The sequence below is a fragment of the Homo sapiens genome, chromosome 2 (genome assembly GCF_000001405.40).
Source record: "Homo sapiens chromosome 2, GRCh38.p14 Primary Assembly".
NCBI lineage: Eukaryota > Metazoa > Chordata > Mammalia > Primates > Hominidae > Homo > Homo sapiens.
This window is the reverse complement of record NC_000002.12, coordinates 230,065,711-230,083,909: the sequence shown is the minus strand read 5'-3', so window position 1 is coordinate 230,083,909 and position 18,199 is coordinate 230,065,711. Positions and strand designations below refer to the sequence as shown.

The following is an 18,199-nucleotide window of genomic DNA, read 5'->3' as shown; positions in this document are numbered from 1 at the left end:
CTGACCAGTCATGATAGTAATGTGTCAACATTTTCATACCCTGTATGGCCGTAATGGAAATACCAGCTGGGCATCAGTCCTGCTGTCCTCAAATAGACTAGAAGACAGTTTGGGACAGATCACAGGGGATTGAGAATATTGTCCTTAACTATTATTTTCCCAACGTATGAAGAGCCCAGGGCTGGAGCCCAGGATGTGCAGAGGCCCGAGGCCTAACTGATGGGAGCTGAGGCTGGGGGAGGGGGGTGAAGTGGGAGTAAAGAGTGCTTCAAATGGGAGGGCTTGATTCAACAGTGTGGGCCAGAGGGGTGTGACATTATCTGACCCTTACTTCTGAAATGCCCATCTGTTCTAGCTGGGTGACCAACAGTAATGTTACCACTAAGACACTGGGGACTCGGAAGATGGGCAAATTGAATGGAGAATGAGGAATGTAATTTTCAGTCATCTAAGGTAAAGAGTGTGGGAGAGCCAGCTGGACAGGAGTAGGGGACCAACTGACCTCAGAGGCTTGATGGGCAAGAAACCACCTGGAGAGGAACTTCAGGAGGGAAAAGATGGGCCACTGTTTTGGGAATTGACCGGGCTCCAAAGACACTTAACTTACTTTACAATGTTGCTGTGGACTGTCCTTGTGTACAGACAGTCCTGAGGTTCTGAACTTCAGTCCTTTACGTTAAGACTTCTCCTTTTTCTCCTTTCCTGATGAGGAAATGGCTCCCTCCAAATCCCATCCTCTCACAAACCTTTGGGTTTCCTGTCAAATTTAAACAAAACATAGAGATTATCTACCAATAATCTCAAATGCCCTGAGAGAAACTTCAAGAGAAGAACACACCCTTCTCATTGCCAAGACGGAGTTTCCAAGGAAAAGGGATCAGAGGAGCGGTGGTTCTGGACTGAACAAGTAAAAAGATGTTTTCCCACAGCAACTTGGTTTTGCTGTCGGCAACTAGGGAAAGTTTGATTTCCAGAGAAGGAAGTAGAGAACAAGATCAGCAAACCAGAGAATGCTCTCCAAGGCCCCTAGGAACACCATGGGATCCTCAGACACACCCAACAGCAGTGAGTGTGAGTGGCCCAATAAGTCCACATGTATGACGGGATACCTACTCTATGCCCTGTGCTGCACAGAGAATCACATGTGTATCCTTTCCCCCTAGAACTCAGAACCATGAATCATCCTAATACAAGGCGCACGGGCCACGTGTGCATCAGGATTCCTGCACTTGCATAGGATGAACTGCAACTCACACTGGCTGAAGAGCACATATCGGTTCAAGTAACGGAAAAACACAGACAGAGATTCTGGAAAGCAAGGCTGGACCCAGCAGCTTAAATGAGGCCATGATTTCTTCGTCTCTCCAATTTTTGGCTCTGTTCTGTTTTCACTGACTTTAATTTTAGATAGGGCTGTGCTTCCATAAGGCAATAAAAGTTTCCCCCAGCAGTTCGAGGCTTAGTTTCTATCAGATTGGCAAGCCCAGCAGACAATGCCTCTTTCCCAACAGCTACAGTCAAAGAGCTGAGATTTGAGGTACAATTGGCTTGGTTTGGGTCATAGGTCTATTCCCAAGCCAATTTCTATAGTCAGAAAAAAAGAATGCCCTGACAGGATAGGCCTGGGATCCTGTAAAAGCAGCTCAACCCAGCCGGGCACAGTGGCTCACGCCTGTAATCCCAGCACTTTGGGAGGCCAAGGCAGGTGGATCACCTGAGGTCTGGAGTTCGAGACAAGTGTGGTCAACATGGTGAAACCCCATCTCTAAAAATACAAAAATTAGCCGAATGTGGTGGCGCATGCCTGTAATCCCCACTACTCGGGAGGCTGAGACAGGAGAATTGCTTGAACCGGGGAGGCCGAGATTGCAGTAAGCAAAGATCATTCCACTGCACTCCAGCCTGGGTGATAGAGTGGGACTCTGTCTCAATAAAAAAAAAAAAAAAAAAAGGCAGCTCAACCCTTACCAGAGATGGCTCACCATGGGGAAAACCAGGTTGCTGTTAGCAGAAAAAAAGAAGATATGTACTGGACAGACAGAAAAAAACAGCAGAAGTGCTCCACAGAGTACCAGACAAATCCCATGGGTTCATAAAAGAGGTCCTGTTCATTTTTACCTGAGCTGGGCACAGTGGCTCACGTCTGTAAACCCAACACTGGGAGGACAAGACAGGTGGATCGCATGAGGACAGGAGTTCGAGATCAGCTTGGCCAACATCGTGAAAACCCATCTCTACTAAAAATACAGAAAAATTAGCTGGGCATGGTGGCAGACACCTGTAATCCCAGCTACTCAGGATGCTGAGGCAGGAGAATCACTTGAACCTGGGAGGTAGAGGTTGCAGTGAGCCATGATCACACCACTGCATTCCAGCCTGGACAAGAGAGCAAGACTCTGTCTCAAAAAAAAAAAAAAATTGATCTGAGAGATGTGGCCATGAAGGAGCTAGCTTGAGTTGAGTCATGACTAAAAAAAAAAAGAAAGAAAGAAAAAAGAAAAGGATTATGATAAATAAAAAAGTATAGTAGAAGGAGATCCCAAGCCAAGGAAAAAGCACATAGAAACACAAAGCATAAATGTCCTCTGGAAATTGAGGGCAATCCACTCAGCCTGGAACAGTGACAATACAGGTGTAGCAGAGGAGGACACTTGAAACGTGAGCTGGGTCAGGTCAAGGAAGCCTTTAAGCACCTGGTTAGGGAGACAGGGACACCTGTTCCTCAAACCAACTGTAGCCTGCAGGAACCAGGGACATGTCTCTTGAGATTTTTCCCCCACTTAAAATGTGTACTCAACTAAAGGCAGCATGTATCATGGTTGACGCAGGGACTGTAGAGCTGGACTGCCTGATTCAAATCCAGCTCAGCCACTTACTAGCTTCATGAACTGGGGCAAATTCCTTAACCCGTCTGTGCCCCTGTTTCCTCACCTATAAATGAGAAAATAATAGCCTCTCCTTCATGGAGGTATTGTGACAATTGAATAAAATAATTCATAAAGATGTGAGAATCAAGCCAGGCTCGTTGTAAGCATGGTCAGTTGCTCTTCTTAGTGAGCACACACCAATGGCGGGCCAGTGGAGAGGCAACTCCAGCCGGCTGGCACCTCTATGTAACCTACTTCGCTCAGGATGGGATCGGTCAGTGCCCACACTCTAAGCATGGGCCATCCCTCCAATTCCATCGCCGTAACCAACTTTTAAAAACCCAATTAGCTTAGCAGGCATAGATTTAGACCTCCATCCTATAGCTAATTAGAAGCTCTGTGTTCTTGGGCAGGGAAGGGTATACCAATGCTTATATTTTACTGGTTTTTATTGGGTGGAAAGCCTACTTTGTCACTGGGTACCCCCAAACATCATTATTTTCAATTCAGCCTTTTTGAACTTATTCAGTTTCTCCAGGGAAGAATCTTCTAGTCTCCTTTTTGGGAAAATAAGCCAGGCTGCCCTCCTGGGAACAGGAGAGGTGAAAGTTTATTGGCGGTGTCCCACCACTTAGTATACAGATGTCACCCAACCCCACAGACCTCTGGATCCTCAGCTCCACCTTCTGCCCTGCCTGATACCTGAATCTGGACCCTCTCTGGTTCAGTTTCTCCAGAAAATAAACACACTGTGAGGCCAGGGGATGAGGATTTCTTGGCTAATTCTTCTGATGCAATTTGTCTGGAGTTTGGCCTGACCATCTGGATTTTTTTCAAAAGCTCCCAGGTGTTCTAATGTGTAGCCAAGGCAGGGAACAATTGCGTTAAAGCAATGCTTGCCACATGTCAGTTATTTGCCTACCATCTTGCTGAACAATTACTTACTTATCACTTTCTTTAAATGAAATCAGGTTTAACTTAAATTTTGTTTTGATAAGAAGTGTCATATCATTTATGTAAATGGAAAGCAAGTCTACCACTTGTAAATATGTAAAAGAGCAAAGAAACCTCCTTCTCACTCCCCTCACCCTACTTTGTTTTATTTTATAATGCTTAGCACCTGAAATATTGCCTGTTTCACTCTCCCTTAGAATGCATACTCCATGAGAACAGGAACTCCTGTCAGCTTGTCCAATACAGTCTTCTCCGTCACCCAGGACTCACCTGGCCCTCAATAACTATTGTTAAATAAATTAATAAGAGAAACCACAAATAAGTACCTAAAAACAATATATGGTTATTAAATTCCAACTAGGTAGGGCTACTTGTTGATGATTCCGAATCTGAAGACTGCTCTCTCCCTTAATAAATTAGAGGTGTTAAACACTCCACCCGGACTTTCTCCTTGAGTATTCAATGAACTGAAAAAGAATTGCACATGCACGTGTTTATTACTGATGTGTCAGCACCTAGATACCTGGTGTCTGGCACCTTGTAGGAGCTCAATACTCTTTTAAAATGCCTGAAGGAGACCTAGTGTTAGTTACTGCTAGTCAGTGTGGGTCTAAAATCACCAGTGCTACCAGTTCACCCTCCAGAAGATACTGCCTCAAATCATTCTGACAGTCCTGATACCCAAGAAGCACACCCTCCTATTTTTGCAGCCAGTATAACCTCTATGAACAATGTCCTTCTCCGTCCTCTCACCTCTATACCTATTGAGGAGGATCAAACCATTTTTTTTGTTTGTTTGTTTGTTTTTGAGATGGAGTCTTGCTTTGTCGCCCAGGCTGGAGTGCAGTGGCCCGATCTTGGCTCACTGCACGCTCCGCCTCCCGGGTTCATGCCATTCTCCTGCCTCAGCCTCCCGAGTAGCTGGGACTACAGGCACCCGCCACCACGCCTGGCTAATTTTTTTTTTTTTTTTGTATTTTTAGTAGAGACAGGGTTTCACCATGTTAGCCAGGATGGTCTCGATCTCCTGACCTCGTGATCTGCCTGCCTCGGCCTCCCAAAGTGCTGGGATTACAGGCGTGAGCCACCATGACTGGCCGGATCAAACCATTTTTTTCATCCTTCCCATTGGCAGACCTCTTTCCATGGAGGTTTAAAACTCCATGAACTGCATTTGATTATGATTTTTGTTTTACCGCAAGTATCCTGAAGGCCCCACTGTGGCTCAAGTGTGTGGGACTCCAGGCTAGTTACACGTCCATATCAATGCTGGCCTTCCTTACAATGAATCCAGATGACTATGTTTTATTAGGAGCTGTCCAGTCACCAACAAACACAATAATTTGGTCCTCTTATCCCAAGGTAAAAGTCACTGAGGACTGGGTTCAAGATTTAGCCATCCATGCATGACAAGGGTTTTGAGAAAACCAGCCCTAACTAACTAATCCGAAGTTCTCTTGCCCTTCTCTGGCCATCCTGGTCCCTAGGGAGTTAGTCACAAAATAAATTGGGAAGCAGCACACGGCTTAGGTAGGCATTTTTATGTGACACCACCCCTCCCCCATGTGTCACCTGATTATCCAATCCCACGCGGGACAGGAGACCATAGAGAACTATTTAAAAGCCTTCTTTGGGAGATCCACTTCTCTGCAAATGCCCCACTCCTCTCTGCTGAGCAGCCCTCTCCATGCTCAGCAGCAGGCAGGTTTCCCTGCTGAGGCAGAGGAGCCTGATCCACCCAGTCCTGCCCCGGGAGCCACAGGTGGGCTCAGCTTCCACCAATAAACTAAGACCCATAAAAGGGGAATGGAGAAAGGTAGGGAGGGCAGAAGGAACCAAGAGGAACAGAGAGGTGTTAAGTGTGAGAAAAGGAAAGTCCTTGTAGCTTTTCTATATTTTCTTTTATGTTTTCTTTCTTTTTTTTTTTTTTTTACTTTTTCAATTAAAAAACATTGTGCATACTTAGTGGATGTGTATGTTTATGGGGTACATATTTTCCGGGACTGCATAAGATCAGAAACCAAACGCTGGGAAACAGGAAAAGAAAAAGCAGTTAGATTAGCCAGTTTCCTGCAGCATTGTTAATAAAGGTCACAATAGCACTGCTGGATACTAAATGGAATTTGGCCCTGCAAAAATTCAGCTAGAAAATAATAGCTAACACCCATGGGTGCTATGTGCCAAGGATCATTCTAAGAACTTTTCATACTTTTAAAAAATTGTTTTTTACTCCTAAATACTTCAGCGAGCATTTCTTTTTTTAAAAAAAGACATTCTCTTACATAACCACAGTACTGTAATTGTTAAAATTTTAAAAAACTAATAGGCTTATAGTGTTATTACCTAATCTCAAGACCTTAATCAGATTTAGCTGATGGTCCCACCACAACTGGTAAAAGCAACCCTGGATCACGTGTTGCCTTTATTTGTCATTTCTCTCATGTCTCCTTGAAGCTGGGCTCTTCATGAATCTTTGCTTACCCTTGGTGATGCCAACCTTCTTGGGAAGGATAGGCTAGTTATTTTGTAGAATGTCCCTTAATTCAGCTTTGTCTGATGTTTCCCCATGATTAGACCTATGTATTTTTTGTCAACGATCTCACAGAAGGGCTGCTGTGTTCCTCTCAGTATATCTCATCAGGAGGTACAGGTCAATGGACTTCATATACTCTTTTTTTTGAGACAGGGTCTCACTCTGTTGTCCAGGCTGGAGTGCAGTGGCTCACTGCAGCCTCAACCTCCTGGAATCCGGTGATCCTCCTGCCTCGGCCTCCCTTGTAGCTAGAACCCCAGACACATGCCACCATGCCCAGCTAATTTTTTCATTTTTTTGTAGAGACACGGATCTCACTTTGTTGCCCAGGCTGGTCTCGAACTCTTGGACTAAAGCAATCCTCCTGCCTCGGCCTCCCAAAGTGCTGGGATTCCAAATGTGAGCCACTGTACCCAGCCTTCACATACTTTAAATCATTTACTCCTCACAGCAACTCAAGAGGTAGGTATTATTATTATTATTAAAATATATTTATACTTTTATAAAATAAAATATAAATAAAATGTATATTTATTATTTATAAAATAATAAAATATTGTTAAAATATTTATATATTTTATTATTGTATTATTTTTATTAATCTGCTACAGTCTGAAAGTTTGTATCCCCCCCAAATTCATACATTGAAACCTAACCCCCAAGGTGATGGTATTAGGGAGGTAGGACCTTTGGGATGTAATTAGGTCATGAGGGCATAGCTCTTATGAATGAGATCAGTGTCCTCATAAAAGAGACCCCAGAGAGTGCCCTGCCCCTTCTATCATGTGAGGACACAGTGAGATTTTGTATATGAACCGGGAAATGGGCCCTCACCAGACACTAAAATCTGCAGCACCCTGATCATGGACTTCCCAGCCTCCAGAACTGCGAGAAATAAATGTCTGTTGTGCATAAGCCACCCAGTTTATGGTATGTTGTTACAGCAGTCCAAATGGGCTGAGACATTTTCGTCTTACGGAAGATGACACTGAGATGTAGAGATGCTCAGCAACCTCATTAACAGATAAAGAGGTGAGTGGTGAAAGCTGGGATTGCAGTTCAGCAGTGAGGCTCCAGGCTTTATACTCTTAATGACTAATATATGCTGCCTCTCAAGAGGGTTCTCGTGTCAGGCAATTCTCTCTCTCAGGTGGAATAGGCTTGGATGACGCTCTTATCACTACTTTAAATATAAGTCCCCTAATGATGTGCCAGGCACAGTGCTGTCCGTGTGTTGTCTTATTTAATCCTCACAACAACCCTTTGATGTAGGTGCTGGTATTACACCCACTCCAGCGCTGATGCCAGGCCAAGTACACACAGATGGAGGAGCTGGGCTTTTGGTCTGGCTGACCTCGGAAACAGCTCAACTCTGTGCATTCTTGGCTTTCACCATAAATGCTCTGCTACTTCGCAACAAGGAAGAGGAGAGCTCTTTATTTTCATAATCACTGATTACACAGTCCTAAAAGTTCTCTAATGCTGGTATTTGGTCTTGGCAATACATTGATATCTCCTGATCCTTTCTTGCAGAGGAGACAATGTAGGCCCAGCTGGGGACTGGCCTGGTGAACCAGGGTTACAGAATCTGCCTGGGCTGTAAGGCCCACTGGTGTTCAGGCAGATGTCTTTTCAGGTATTTAGGTCTTTATTTTCATTCAGTAATGCTTTGTAATTTTCAGAGTACAAGCTTGGCACTTCCTTTAAGCATATTCCCAATTTTTAAAATTCTTTTGGATGTTATTGTAAATGGAGTTGTTAGTGTATAGAAATATCATTAATTTGCATACACTGATCTTGTATGCTGCAACTTTGCTGAATGCACTTCTTAAGTCCTATTCTTGTTAGTGGATTCCTTATGTTTTCTGTATATAAATCATATATCTGAAAATAGAGGTAATTTTATTTTCTTCTTTCTATTCTGGATGCCCTTTATTTCTTTTTTTAATTTTTAATCTTTTATTTATTTATTGCCTAATTCCCCTGGTTAGAATCTCTAGTACTATATTGAATAGGAATGTCAAAAGTGGATATCCTTATCTTGTTCCTGATCTTTAGGGGAAAGCATTCAATCTTTCACCATCAAGTATGATGTTAGCTGTGAGTTTTTGTAGATGCCTTTTATCAGGTTGAGGAAGTACCCTTCAATTGCTAGTCTGTTGTGTGTTTTTTTTAGTCATGAAAGGGTGTTGTATTTTGTCAAATACTTATTCTGTATATATTAAGATGATCATGTTATTTTGATTTTTTCCTTTTTTAAAATGTTTATTTATTTATTTATTTATTTGTTTATTTTTGAGAAAGAGTCTCGCTCTATCGCCCAGGCTGGAGTGCAGTGGCATGATCTCAGTTCACTGCAACCTCCGCTTCCTGGGTTGAAGCGATTCTCCTGCCTCAGCCTCTTGAGTAGCTGGGACTACAGGCACGTGCAACCACACCCGCCCAGATACTTTTTGTATTTTTAGTACAGAAAAGGTTTCACCATGTTGGCCAGGCTGGCCTTGAACCCCTGACCTCAAGTGATCCACCTGCCTTGGCCTCCCAAAGTGATGGGATTATAGGCGTGAGCCACCGCACCGGGCTGTTTTTCATTTTGTTGTTTTGTTGTTGTTGTTGTTGTTGTTTTAGATCTTGCTCTTTTGCACAGGCTAGAGTGCAGTGGTGGGATCAAAGCTCACTGTAGCCCCAAGCAGTCCTCCCACCCCATCCTCCTGAGTCACTAGGACTATAGGCCCACACCTCATCCTTTATTCTATTGATACTATCTATCACATTAACTGATTTTCAAATACATACCAACCTTGCATTCCTGGGATAAGTCCCACTTGGTCATAGTGAGCTCATTATTTTTATTTATTTATTTATTTATTTTAAAGACAAGGTCTTGCTTGGTTACCAAGGCTGGAGTGCAGTGGCACCATCATAGTTCACTGTAACCTCAAACTCCTGCGCTTAAGCAATCCTCCCACCTCAGCCTCCTGAGTAGCTGGGACTACAGGTGCATGCCACCACACCCAGCTGTTATTTTTAATTTTTATTTTGTAGAGATGGGGCCTCACTATTGAGGTTGCCCAGGCAGATATTGAACTCCTGCCCTCAAGCAGTCACCCTGCCTTAGCCTCCCACAGTGCTGGGATTACAGGGGTGAGCCACTATGCCTGGCTAAGTTAATTGATTTTAATAATTAAATAAGTGTCCACGAAGCCAGCACAACAAGGCACATCTAATCATACCCATCCCTTCTCCCTGTCATCCCTGACCTAAGTCCCATGTTCATCTTTCCTTGCTTCTCTTTTTGGATAGTTGCACTGCACCTAGATGCATTCCAAAAATATTTGGTTTAAGTTTTGTAATTTTGCATAAAGAGTATTATGCTTTTTTCTGCTTAATATGTAATTTCTAAGATTCAAACATATGGTGTATTAATGGAGTTGATCCTTTTGATTGCTGTATAATATTCCATTGTATGACTACTATGTATGCCACATTAAAATAGTAATTATGTATCCCATGTAACTATGTATCCCATGTAACTATTAAAAGTAGTAACTATTAAAAGAGTAACTATGTATGCCATATTAAAATAGTAACAGGTCCAAATCTGAACTCCTAATATCTCCCCCAAACAAGCTCCTCCTGCAGTCTTCCCATCTTTGTTAATGTCAGCTCCATTCTTCCAATCACTTAGCCAAAACCTTGGAGTCATCCTTGACTCCTCTTTCTCTCACACATTCAATCTGAAAGCAAATCCTACAACTCTGCCTCCAAAGTATATTCAGATCCAATTTTGTTTTACAACCTTCATTGCCACTTCTATGGTCCCAGTAGCCATTGTCTCTCCCTTGGATTATTGTAGTCAGCCTCCCAAGTAGCGGGATTACAGGCATGCACGGCCACGCCCAGCTAACTTTTGTATTTTTAGTAGAGACAGGGTTTCATCATGTGGGCCAGGCTGGTCTCAAACTCCTGGCTTCAAGTGATCCACCTACCTCAGCCTCCCAAAGTACTGGGATTACAAGCGTGAGGCACCATGCCCAGCCCCCCCTGCTCAACTCTCCAGTGGCTTCCTGTCTCTGAATAAAAGCCAGTTTTTTTCCTGTGATTTTCAAGGCTTTAGGGTGACCTACAGACACTTCCCTCTGCCTTGTGGACTTTGTACCTGCTACTCTTCCTGCTAGGATGAGCTTCCTCCTGTCATTCTCATGGCTCATTCCAGCACTTCTTATTGATGCTTTCTCTCTCCCTTCTAAAGTTTCCCATCACAATAACCCTTCAATTTCCCTGTCCTTGCCTAATTTTTTTCTTAGTGCTTATTACTAATTGTATATATATGTATGTATATATATACATATATATAGAGAGAGAAATAAATACACATACACATATATGCATTACATATATATAACTTGTTTTTCTTGCTCACTGGAACATATACTTAGTGCAGAAAAGCATTTGTGTTGGTTTTGTTCATTGCTGTATCCCCAGCACTTCATAAAATCACATCATACACGTTCAGCAAATATTTGTTGAATGAAAAAATAAATGAATAGCTGAAAAGTAACTACTAGCACATATGGTTCATGGATAAAGCATAAAAATGAGGCCTTGCTGAAATCTGAAATTTATGAGGCACCCAGAAGCCATGACCAATGTCATCTCAGTGTGGTGGTTCTTATGAGACTCCAGGCTGCTGAAGGCTGCTATCAGCCCTGCAACCTCCTTCTGTCCCCATAAGCCATGCTGAAGTCCAAAATCCCTGGAGGCTGGTTTGGCAGCAGGCCAAGACTGAAGATACCTGCCAAGACCAGATGTAACCAAGGTCCCCACTTGGTAAAAGCATCTGCACTTACGGAAAGATAAATCCAGTCACAGGGAGAATCCTGGGGGGGCACAGACTGACCCACCAAGCCAAGAGGTGGCACGGATTTGGGCACAGCACTGGATTTCTGGCCCTGTGTAAGAGAAAGCATTTCCTTCCTCCTTCATAAAACTTTGCCTGGCTGTGCAGCGTGTGGCTTGCCCTGTGATTTCTGAGCACACTTGCATTTCAGGCACTTGTGTTCTGGATTCTAGTCTTTGATCTCCCACATTAAACTCAGAGGAGTGGGGAACAGGGCCATACTGAGAGACAGAGGATATTCTTGGTGACCATGTGGGTTGTGGGTCATCTTTACATCTGGGCTGGCTACAACAATGAGGCAGTCACGGTGACACTTTAAGGCATTTCTCTAACCCCTTCAATGTTCTGTGCTAGCAACTTTCTCAAAAGCTAATTCTATCCCACTCTGTGCCTATTCTACACCATTAAACCACCAAAATTAAGGCAAAGATTGTCCAAATTCTCAGTTTCACCCCAACTCCAAGGTGGGATTATGAAATCAATTGAGTACATGATTAGAACTAAGAGAGGAGGCTTTTACAGGCAGCATGTGAATTAGTTTACATTCTTAAGATGTAAGGTTGTTAGCTAATGCAATTCAATTAAAGGTAAGATTGCTATTGAGAGAAAATATATAATTTGCCTAAAAATCAAGGGAGAATGTCAGGTTTCTCTACTTCAGATACATGAAAAGAGTTTAGCGCTTATATTTTACATTCTAATTGAAGATGGATTTTTTTTTTTTTTGAGACAGAGTGTCGCTGTGTCACCCAGGCTGGAGTGCAATGGCGCTATCTTGTCTCACTTCAACCTCCGTCTCCTGGGTTCAAGCAATTCTCCTGCCTCAACCTCCTGAGTAGCTGGGATTACAGGCACCCACCACTACGCCCTGCTAATTTTTGTATTTTTAGTAGAAATGGGTTTTCACCGTGTTGGCCAGGCTGGTCTCAAGCTCCCGACCTCAGGCGATCCGCCCACCTCGGACTCCCAAAGTGCTGGGATTACAGGCATGAGCCACTGCGCCTGGCCTGATAGTGGATTTCTATTTATTTAACCCAGACATACCAACTTATGGGTCACAGTCCTCTTTGCTTTGGGCCTGTCCTCAATCCACCTGTGTCACTGAGAGACCAACAGACAGGTAAGAGCAGTGAAACTTATGAAGACAAAATAATTGATCAGAAAAGCCTTCATGGTCCAGAGTAGAAGCTTCTCAGAGAGCCAATTAAAGACTGCCTGGGTGTGTGGAGGTGGGACAAGGATTACAAAGCAGCACAAGGAAAATTTTGGAGTCATTTGATTGAGGTGGTAGTTCCATAGACGTGCTGTAACTCATCGAATTGTACACTAAATATGCATAGTTCATACGAGATCCATCCTACCTCCATATGCTGAAACTCATCAAATTGGACACTAAATATGCACAGTTCATATGAGATCCATCATACCTCCATAAGTGGGCAAGTTTTCAGAGAAAAAAAAAACAGACTTAAAAATCTTACAGACTTCTTTTCCAACAAAATGGATCATCGGCAATTGAAGTGCTTGTCAGGAACCCTAATCTTGCTGTCAAAAGCCTGCTTGAAATGAGTGGATATGAGAGGCACCGCCCAAGGGAACACTAACCATCCAGTTGCCCGTGTTCTTATCAGCAAAAGTAAGATATGTAAACCACTGAAGCCTAGCACCTCATCAAAATGCCCTCACTTGGCCACAATTTCTCACAATTTTCTCAAAATTTTTTTTTCTTTTTTTTTTTTGAGACAGAGTCTCACTCTGTTGCCTAGGCTGGAATGCAGAGGCACGATCTCAGCTCAAGGTTCAAGCGATTCTCGCCTCCCAGATTCAAGCAATATCGTGCCTCAGCCTCCCAAGCAGCTGGAATTACAGGCAGGCGCCACCACACCCAGCTAATTTTTGTGTTTTTAGTAGAGACGGGGTTTCACCATGTTGGCCAAGCTGGTCTTGAACTCCTAGCCTCAAGTGATCCACCCGCCTTGGCCTTCCAAAGTGCTGGGATTACAGGCGTGAGCCACTGTGCCCAGCCTCAATAATTTTTAAATCAAGAGTTGATATAAGATTAGCTGGGCATGGTGGCACGCTCCTATAACCCCAGCTACTTGGGATGCTGAGGCAGGAGAATTGCTTGAACCTGGGAAGCAGATGTTGTAGTGAGCCAAGATTGCCACTGCACTCTAGCCTGGGTGACAGAGTGAGATTCCATCTCAAAAAAAAAAAAAAAAAAAAAGAGAGACAGAATTGATATAAGAAATAGCAATATAGGCCGGGTGCAGCGGCTCATGCCTGTAATCCCAGCACTTTGGGAGGGTGAGGCAGCCAGATCACTTGAGTCCAAAAGGTCAAGACCAGTCTGGGCAATATAATGAGACTCCGTCTCTATAAAAAGTCAAAAAAATTAGCCAGGCATGGTGGCGTGTGCCTGTAGTCCCAGCTACTCAGGAGGCTGAGGTGGGAGGATCACCTGAGCCCAGGAGGTTGAGGCTGCAATGAGCTGTGATCATGCTACTGCACTCCAGCTTGGGTGACCGAGGAAGGCAATGTGAAATACATGTGAATTTTTTTTCAAAGAAACGAAAAAGAAGGAAGAAAAGAAAAAGGAAAAGAAGAAAGAAGGAAATCTGTGGTAGGCAGAATAATGGTCTCCCAAAGATGTCCACATCCTAATCCCTGGAACATGTGAATTTGTTACCTTACATGGCAAGAGGGGAATTAAGGTTGCAGATGGAATTAAGGTTGCTAATCAGCTGACCTTAAAATAGAGAGATTATCTGGATTATCTCATTGGACTCAATGTAATCCCCAGGGTCCTTAAAAGTGGACAGGGGTGGGGGCAGAAAAGGGGAGACAAGGCAATGTGAGTATGGAAAGAAGACAAAATGACGCAGCAGTGCTGGCTTTGAAGATGGAGGAAGAGCCACCAGCCAAGGAATGTGGGCGGCCTGCAGAAGCTGGTGGCTCTCCCCTACAGCCACGAGAAGGAACACAGCCTTCAAGGTGGCCAACACCATGATCTCAGCCTAGTATGACCCATTTCAAACTTCCGACCTCCAGAACTGTAAAATAGTGAATTTGTGTGGTTTTCCTCTGCTATTACTGTGGCAGTTTATCACAACAGCAGCAGAGAATTACTGCAAAACCTTCAGGCGGGAAAAAACAGCACAGGCTTCATCGACTCACACATTCACTTCAATAATACAGAAAACTGTCCAAGGCAAAGCACTATGTTGTGTGCCCTGCTGGGAATGAGGTAGGGAGGTATTGAGATGAAAGTTGTGCCTGGTGCCCACGAAGGTAGGTAATGGACGTGCAGAAAGAGCAGGGAGAGGTGGGACCCAGGGTGGAAACAAGAATGAGGGACTGGCCGGTCACGGTGGCTCAGCTTGTGATCCCAGCACTTTGGAGGCCAAGGCCAGAGGATTCCTTGAGTCCAAGTGTTCGAGACCAGCCTGGCAATATAGTGAAACCCGTGTCTCTAAAAGAGAGAGAATAAGGGACTTTGAGTCCTCTTTGGCCAAAAATATTTCAGTGAGGGTCTGTTTCATCCCTTCTCTCCCATCTCAGAGAAATGGAGGCTACTGCTAGTCTCACTTGCATCCTGGATTAGATTTCAGGACCTTTCCGCCAGTGATAAATGTGCAGCGCCTTAGCGGAACCTCAGCCAAAGCTATAAACTTCAACCGGCCACAAGAGTGTGCATGTGAGGTGACTGCATTTTTTTTCCCTGCCAAACCAGAATTAGCCGGTATAGGAATGAACGAGCATGAAGATTTGAAATTGCTCCGATTGGAAGGAAGCCCAGGTTAGGTTTGGGCACCTCCAAACGCACCCGTTTTAAAGCCACCTGGACTGAGGCGTCGAGCTTTCAGCTCCACCAAACGCTCACCTGGCCTGGCAGCGAGCGGCGGAAGAGCCCGGGAGCCCCTCACAGAGCGCACCGAGCCGGGCGGAGAGCTGAGCCGCAGGCACCCGCGTCTCCAGGATGATAGGCGACATTGCAACAAATCTCTACACCCAGCAGCTCAGGGGGCTCCAAGCAGAGCAGCAAGTTCGAGGATCCGGGCGTGGAGCCGAGTGAGGCCGCAGCCCAGCGGGCCTCGGGCGGTGAGTATCCGAGGCCGCGCGCGCCGCGGGCCTGGGGAATGGAGCGACGCCGGGGGCATCGGAGCCTAGGTTTCAGATGGCCGCTGCACCCCCAGGGACCCCCGGGAAGGGGCAGCCCCAGCCCAAGGCAGGCTCGGGAAAGGCTGCCCGGGCGGTGGAGGGCGAGACTGTGCCGGGGCAGGTGGTAGTGCCAAGGCCGCCGCGGGGGCTTGGGAGCTGCGGGCGGGCAGGGTAACCGGCGGTTCAGGGCAGACCGCCAGGCGGAGCTTGGGGACGCGCGCCTTGCTGCTCAAGCTGGCCGGGGCCCCGCGAGCGTCATCCTGGGCACCCCCGTCCGGCTGGAGAAGCGCGTTCTGCCCGGAGCCCAGCCTCGCTGCCCGGCTGCTCTCTAGGCCCGTTTGGGACTCGAACTGGACAGTGATGAGGCGCAGAGCGGGGGACCCGGGGCTGCGCCTAGGGACTTCGCGGGGTGCGGATGCCTCTCTGCACAGGCTGTGGTGCTGCAGCCGGCCCAGCTTCCCCGGTGGGCTGCTGGCTTCCGAACGCGCCGAGGGATGCGGGGTGCCCGAAGTGGGGATGTGGTCTCGGGGTGCCAAGGGAGCGGGAGCACCGAGCGCGGGTGGGGGCGGGCGCTCGAAGGGTGGGGCGCGAGGCCGGACCCCGCGGGCACGATCCCGCACCCAGGGCGCGCAGAGGCTGGGCCCCCTTAGCGCTTCCGATTGAGGCTCCTCAAGAGAGGCTGAAATGGGGTGAGAGACCGGGGACGGCCATTTCGGGGCTAAACGCTGCCAAGGCCATGACGATGTTTTAGGAGCTGAACTCTGCTTTCCAATTAAGCCATTTTCTTTCTGAGGAAAAGTTGATTCGGGCTCATTAACAAGGATGACTGAGGGCCATTATTGGGGCTTAGAGAGATTCTCCTTTGCCTTGTCTGGCTTCTTTGTTTGCATGTGCGTGCGTGTGCGGCTGTGTGTGTGTGTGTGAGAGAGAGAGAGAGAGAGAGAGAGAGAGAGAGAGAGAAGAGAGGGGAGAGAGGCAGTGTTGGGGGTGGGAGGAGGTAAAACAGGCTTGGGATCCTGCAGGCCTGGGTTCCGATTTGGTTTCCACAGCCTGCTAGTTTAACCTTTCTAAGCTTCATTGCTCCCATTTGATGGCTCAGATTCTTCCTCTGTAAAATGCGGACATTCATGCCAATTGGACTGGAGGAGAAGCCACCAAGCACAGTCCCTGACCCAGAGCGAAGCATGTATGTGTTGAGTCCTCCTAATTCGGTGTGAATTTTTCGGTTCTGTTTTTCTCCTATGCTGTCTGCACCAGCTCAGCTCAGCTCCGCTCCCCAGCCTTCTCCGCGGCAGCCTCTTCAGCCTGCTGGCCGCAAGTGCGCCCTCTAAAGGCCCCAAATGCCCTGTACACACCAGGTGAAGAGCGCGGAAGCGCCTGCAGAGCAGAATTAAAGGTGAAGCCCGCACTCACCTGCGTGGGATGCAGAGCCGCTACCACCACGCTCTGCGTAGCTTTGGGGAAGACTGTAATTTCAATTTTAGCTTCGTGCTTCCCGCTTTCCTTATGTGTAATGAGCTCACCACATGCAATGTAATAACAATAGCCAAATTAAAAATGAATGACTTGGCCCAGCGCGGTGGCTCATGCCTGTAATCCCAGCATTTTGGGAGGCCGAGGCGGGTGGATCATCTGAGGTCAGAGTTTCGAGACCAGCCTGGCTAACATGGCGAAACCCCTTCTCTACTAAAGATACTAAAGATGCAGTGGCACACACCTGTAGTCCCAGCTACTCGGGAGGCTGAGGCAGGAGAATCGCTTGAACTCGGGAGGCGGAAGTTGCAGTGAGCCGAGATCTCACCAGTGCACTCCAGCCTGGGCGACAAAGCCATACTCTGTCAAAAAAAAAAAAAAAATGACTTGCTTGTAAAACTTTCTACGCTGCTGTAGAAAATTTAATTTTGTTCTAATATCTGAAACACCCTAGAAGGATCTGTTATTTTCATTTCTGCCTATTATCACGTAAATATGTAGCTGACCCAGTTTCATAGCCTATATATGTTACCCCCCATTTACAATTTCTTTTTCATCGTCTATGAACTCATTTGGGGAGAATGGAAGGCTGACTATTGCTCCCGTAATCTTCCCATTTTCTTATTTCACCCTCTTCATAACGAAGCCCTAATATTTTTTGTCAAGCTTCCAATAGCAAGCTTGCTTAGAGTGGGTTACCTTTTACTTTTTTTTTTTCTTGAGGTAGTCTCGTTCTATCATCCAGGCTAGAGTGCAGTGGCACCATCTCAGCTCACTGCAACCTCCATCTCCCAGGTTCAAGCAATTCTGCTGCCTCAGCCTCCTGCATAGCTGTGAGTATAGGTGCGCACCACCACACTGGCTAATTTTTGTATTTTTAGCAGAGAAGGGATTTCACCATGTTGGCCAGGCTGGTCTCAGACTCCCGACCTCAAGTGATCCATCCCCCTCAGCCTCCCAAAGTGCTGGGATTACAGGCATGAGCCACCGTGTTCTGCCACATTTTACATATTAATCCTTAGCAGAAGCCCCACATTCACTGCCTCAGGGTGCCACATGCATATCGTCATTTTACATGTATGTCAGGATGTAGAAAATGTAAGGGAGCTTGAAGGCCCTATGGTGGTCAAAGACATGGAGCCTAGGGGTACAGATACACCCTCTAAGTTCTCCCTCTCCAGGTGTGGAGTAGGATTATAATACTAAAATTATTCTTATATCTTATATAAATACATATATAATTATACATGTATATAATTATATGAATGCTACAAGCAATCTTGGAGTTGGAGGGATAAACATTTGTTTTTC

General features: G+C 45.8%; 1 protein-coding gene and 1 long non-coding RNA gene across 7 annotated transcripts in view, besides 6 other annotated features; one reads left to right on the top strand and one right to left on the bottom strand.

The window, feature by feature from the left end:
• The window catches only part of LOC107985995 (uncharacterized), a 75,437-nt gene extending 58,266 nt beyond the window's left edge, over window positions 1-17,171 (bottom strand). The window contains exons 1-2 of the long non-coding RNA XR_001739918.2: window positions 17,133-17,171; window positions 608-757 (exon numbers count right to left, since the gene is read on the bottom strand). This is a non-coding gene — a long non-coding RNA (uncharacterized LOC107985995). The remainder of the gene's footprint in view (window positions 1-607; window positions 758-17,132) is intronic.
• Window positions 14,923-14,982: an enhancer, noted in NCBI's record as "active region_17208". NCBI's record gives its function as "activates an Ori minimal core promoter by ATAC-STARR-seq in GM12878 lymphoblastoid cells {active_cell/tissue: GM12878}" and the evidence as "EXISTENCE:reporter gene assay evidence [ECO:0000049][PMID:35858748]".
• SLC16A14 (solute carrier family 16 member 14) overlaps window positions 14,986-18,199 on the top strand; it is a 33,943-nt gene continuing 30,729 nt past the window's right edge. For 3 of the 6 annotated variants that reach the window (XM_005246353.5, NM_152527.5, XM_011510752.3), the window contains exon 1: window positions 14,986-15,355. The gene's annotated coding sequence lies outside the window, so the exon portion shown is untranslated. Of the gene's footprint in view, window positions 15,356-15,708; window positions 16,812-18,199 lie in introns of those variants that run through there. The other 3 variants (XM_047443523.1, XM_017003480.3, XM_011510751.4) reach the window with 3 other exon arrangements.
• Window positions 14,993-15,112: an enhancer, noted in NCBI's record as "active region_17207". NCBI's record gives its function as "activates an Ori minimal core promoter by ATAC-STARR-seq in GM12878 lymphoblastoid cells {active_cell/tissue: GM12878}" and the evidence as "EXISTENCE:reporter gene assay evidence [ECO:0000049][PMID:35858748]".
• Window positions 15,343-15,612: a silencer, noted in NCBI's record as "silent region_12406". NCBI's record gives its function as "represses an Ori minimal core promoter by ATAC-STARR-seq in GM12878 lymphoblastoid cells {active_cell/tissue: GM12878}" and the evidence as "EXISTENCE:reporter gene assay evidence [ECO:0000049][PMID:35858748]".
• Window positions 15,343-16,278: a biological region, named in NCBI's record as "H3K4me1 hESC enhancer GRCh37_chr2:230932348-230933118".
• Window positions 15,508-16,278: an enhancer, noted in NCBI's record as "H3K4me1 hESC enhancer chr2:230932348-230933118 (GRCh37/hg19 assembly coordinates)". NCBI's record gives its function as "activates a minimal SCP1, AML or CMV promoter by ChIP-STARR-seq in naive H9 embryonic stem cells {active_cell/tissue: H9 hESC(naive)}" and the evidence as "EXISTENCE:reporter gene assay evidence [ECO:0000049][PMID:30033119]".
• Window positions 15,883-16,132: a silencer, noted in NCBI's record as "silent region_12405". NCBI's record gives its function as "represses an Ori minimal core promoter by ATAC-STARR-seq in GM12878 lymphoblastoid cells {active_cell/tissue: GM12878}" and the evidence as "EXISTENCE:reporter gene assay evidence [ECO:0000049][PMID:35858748]".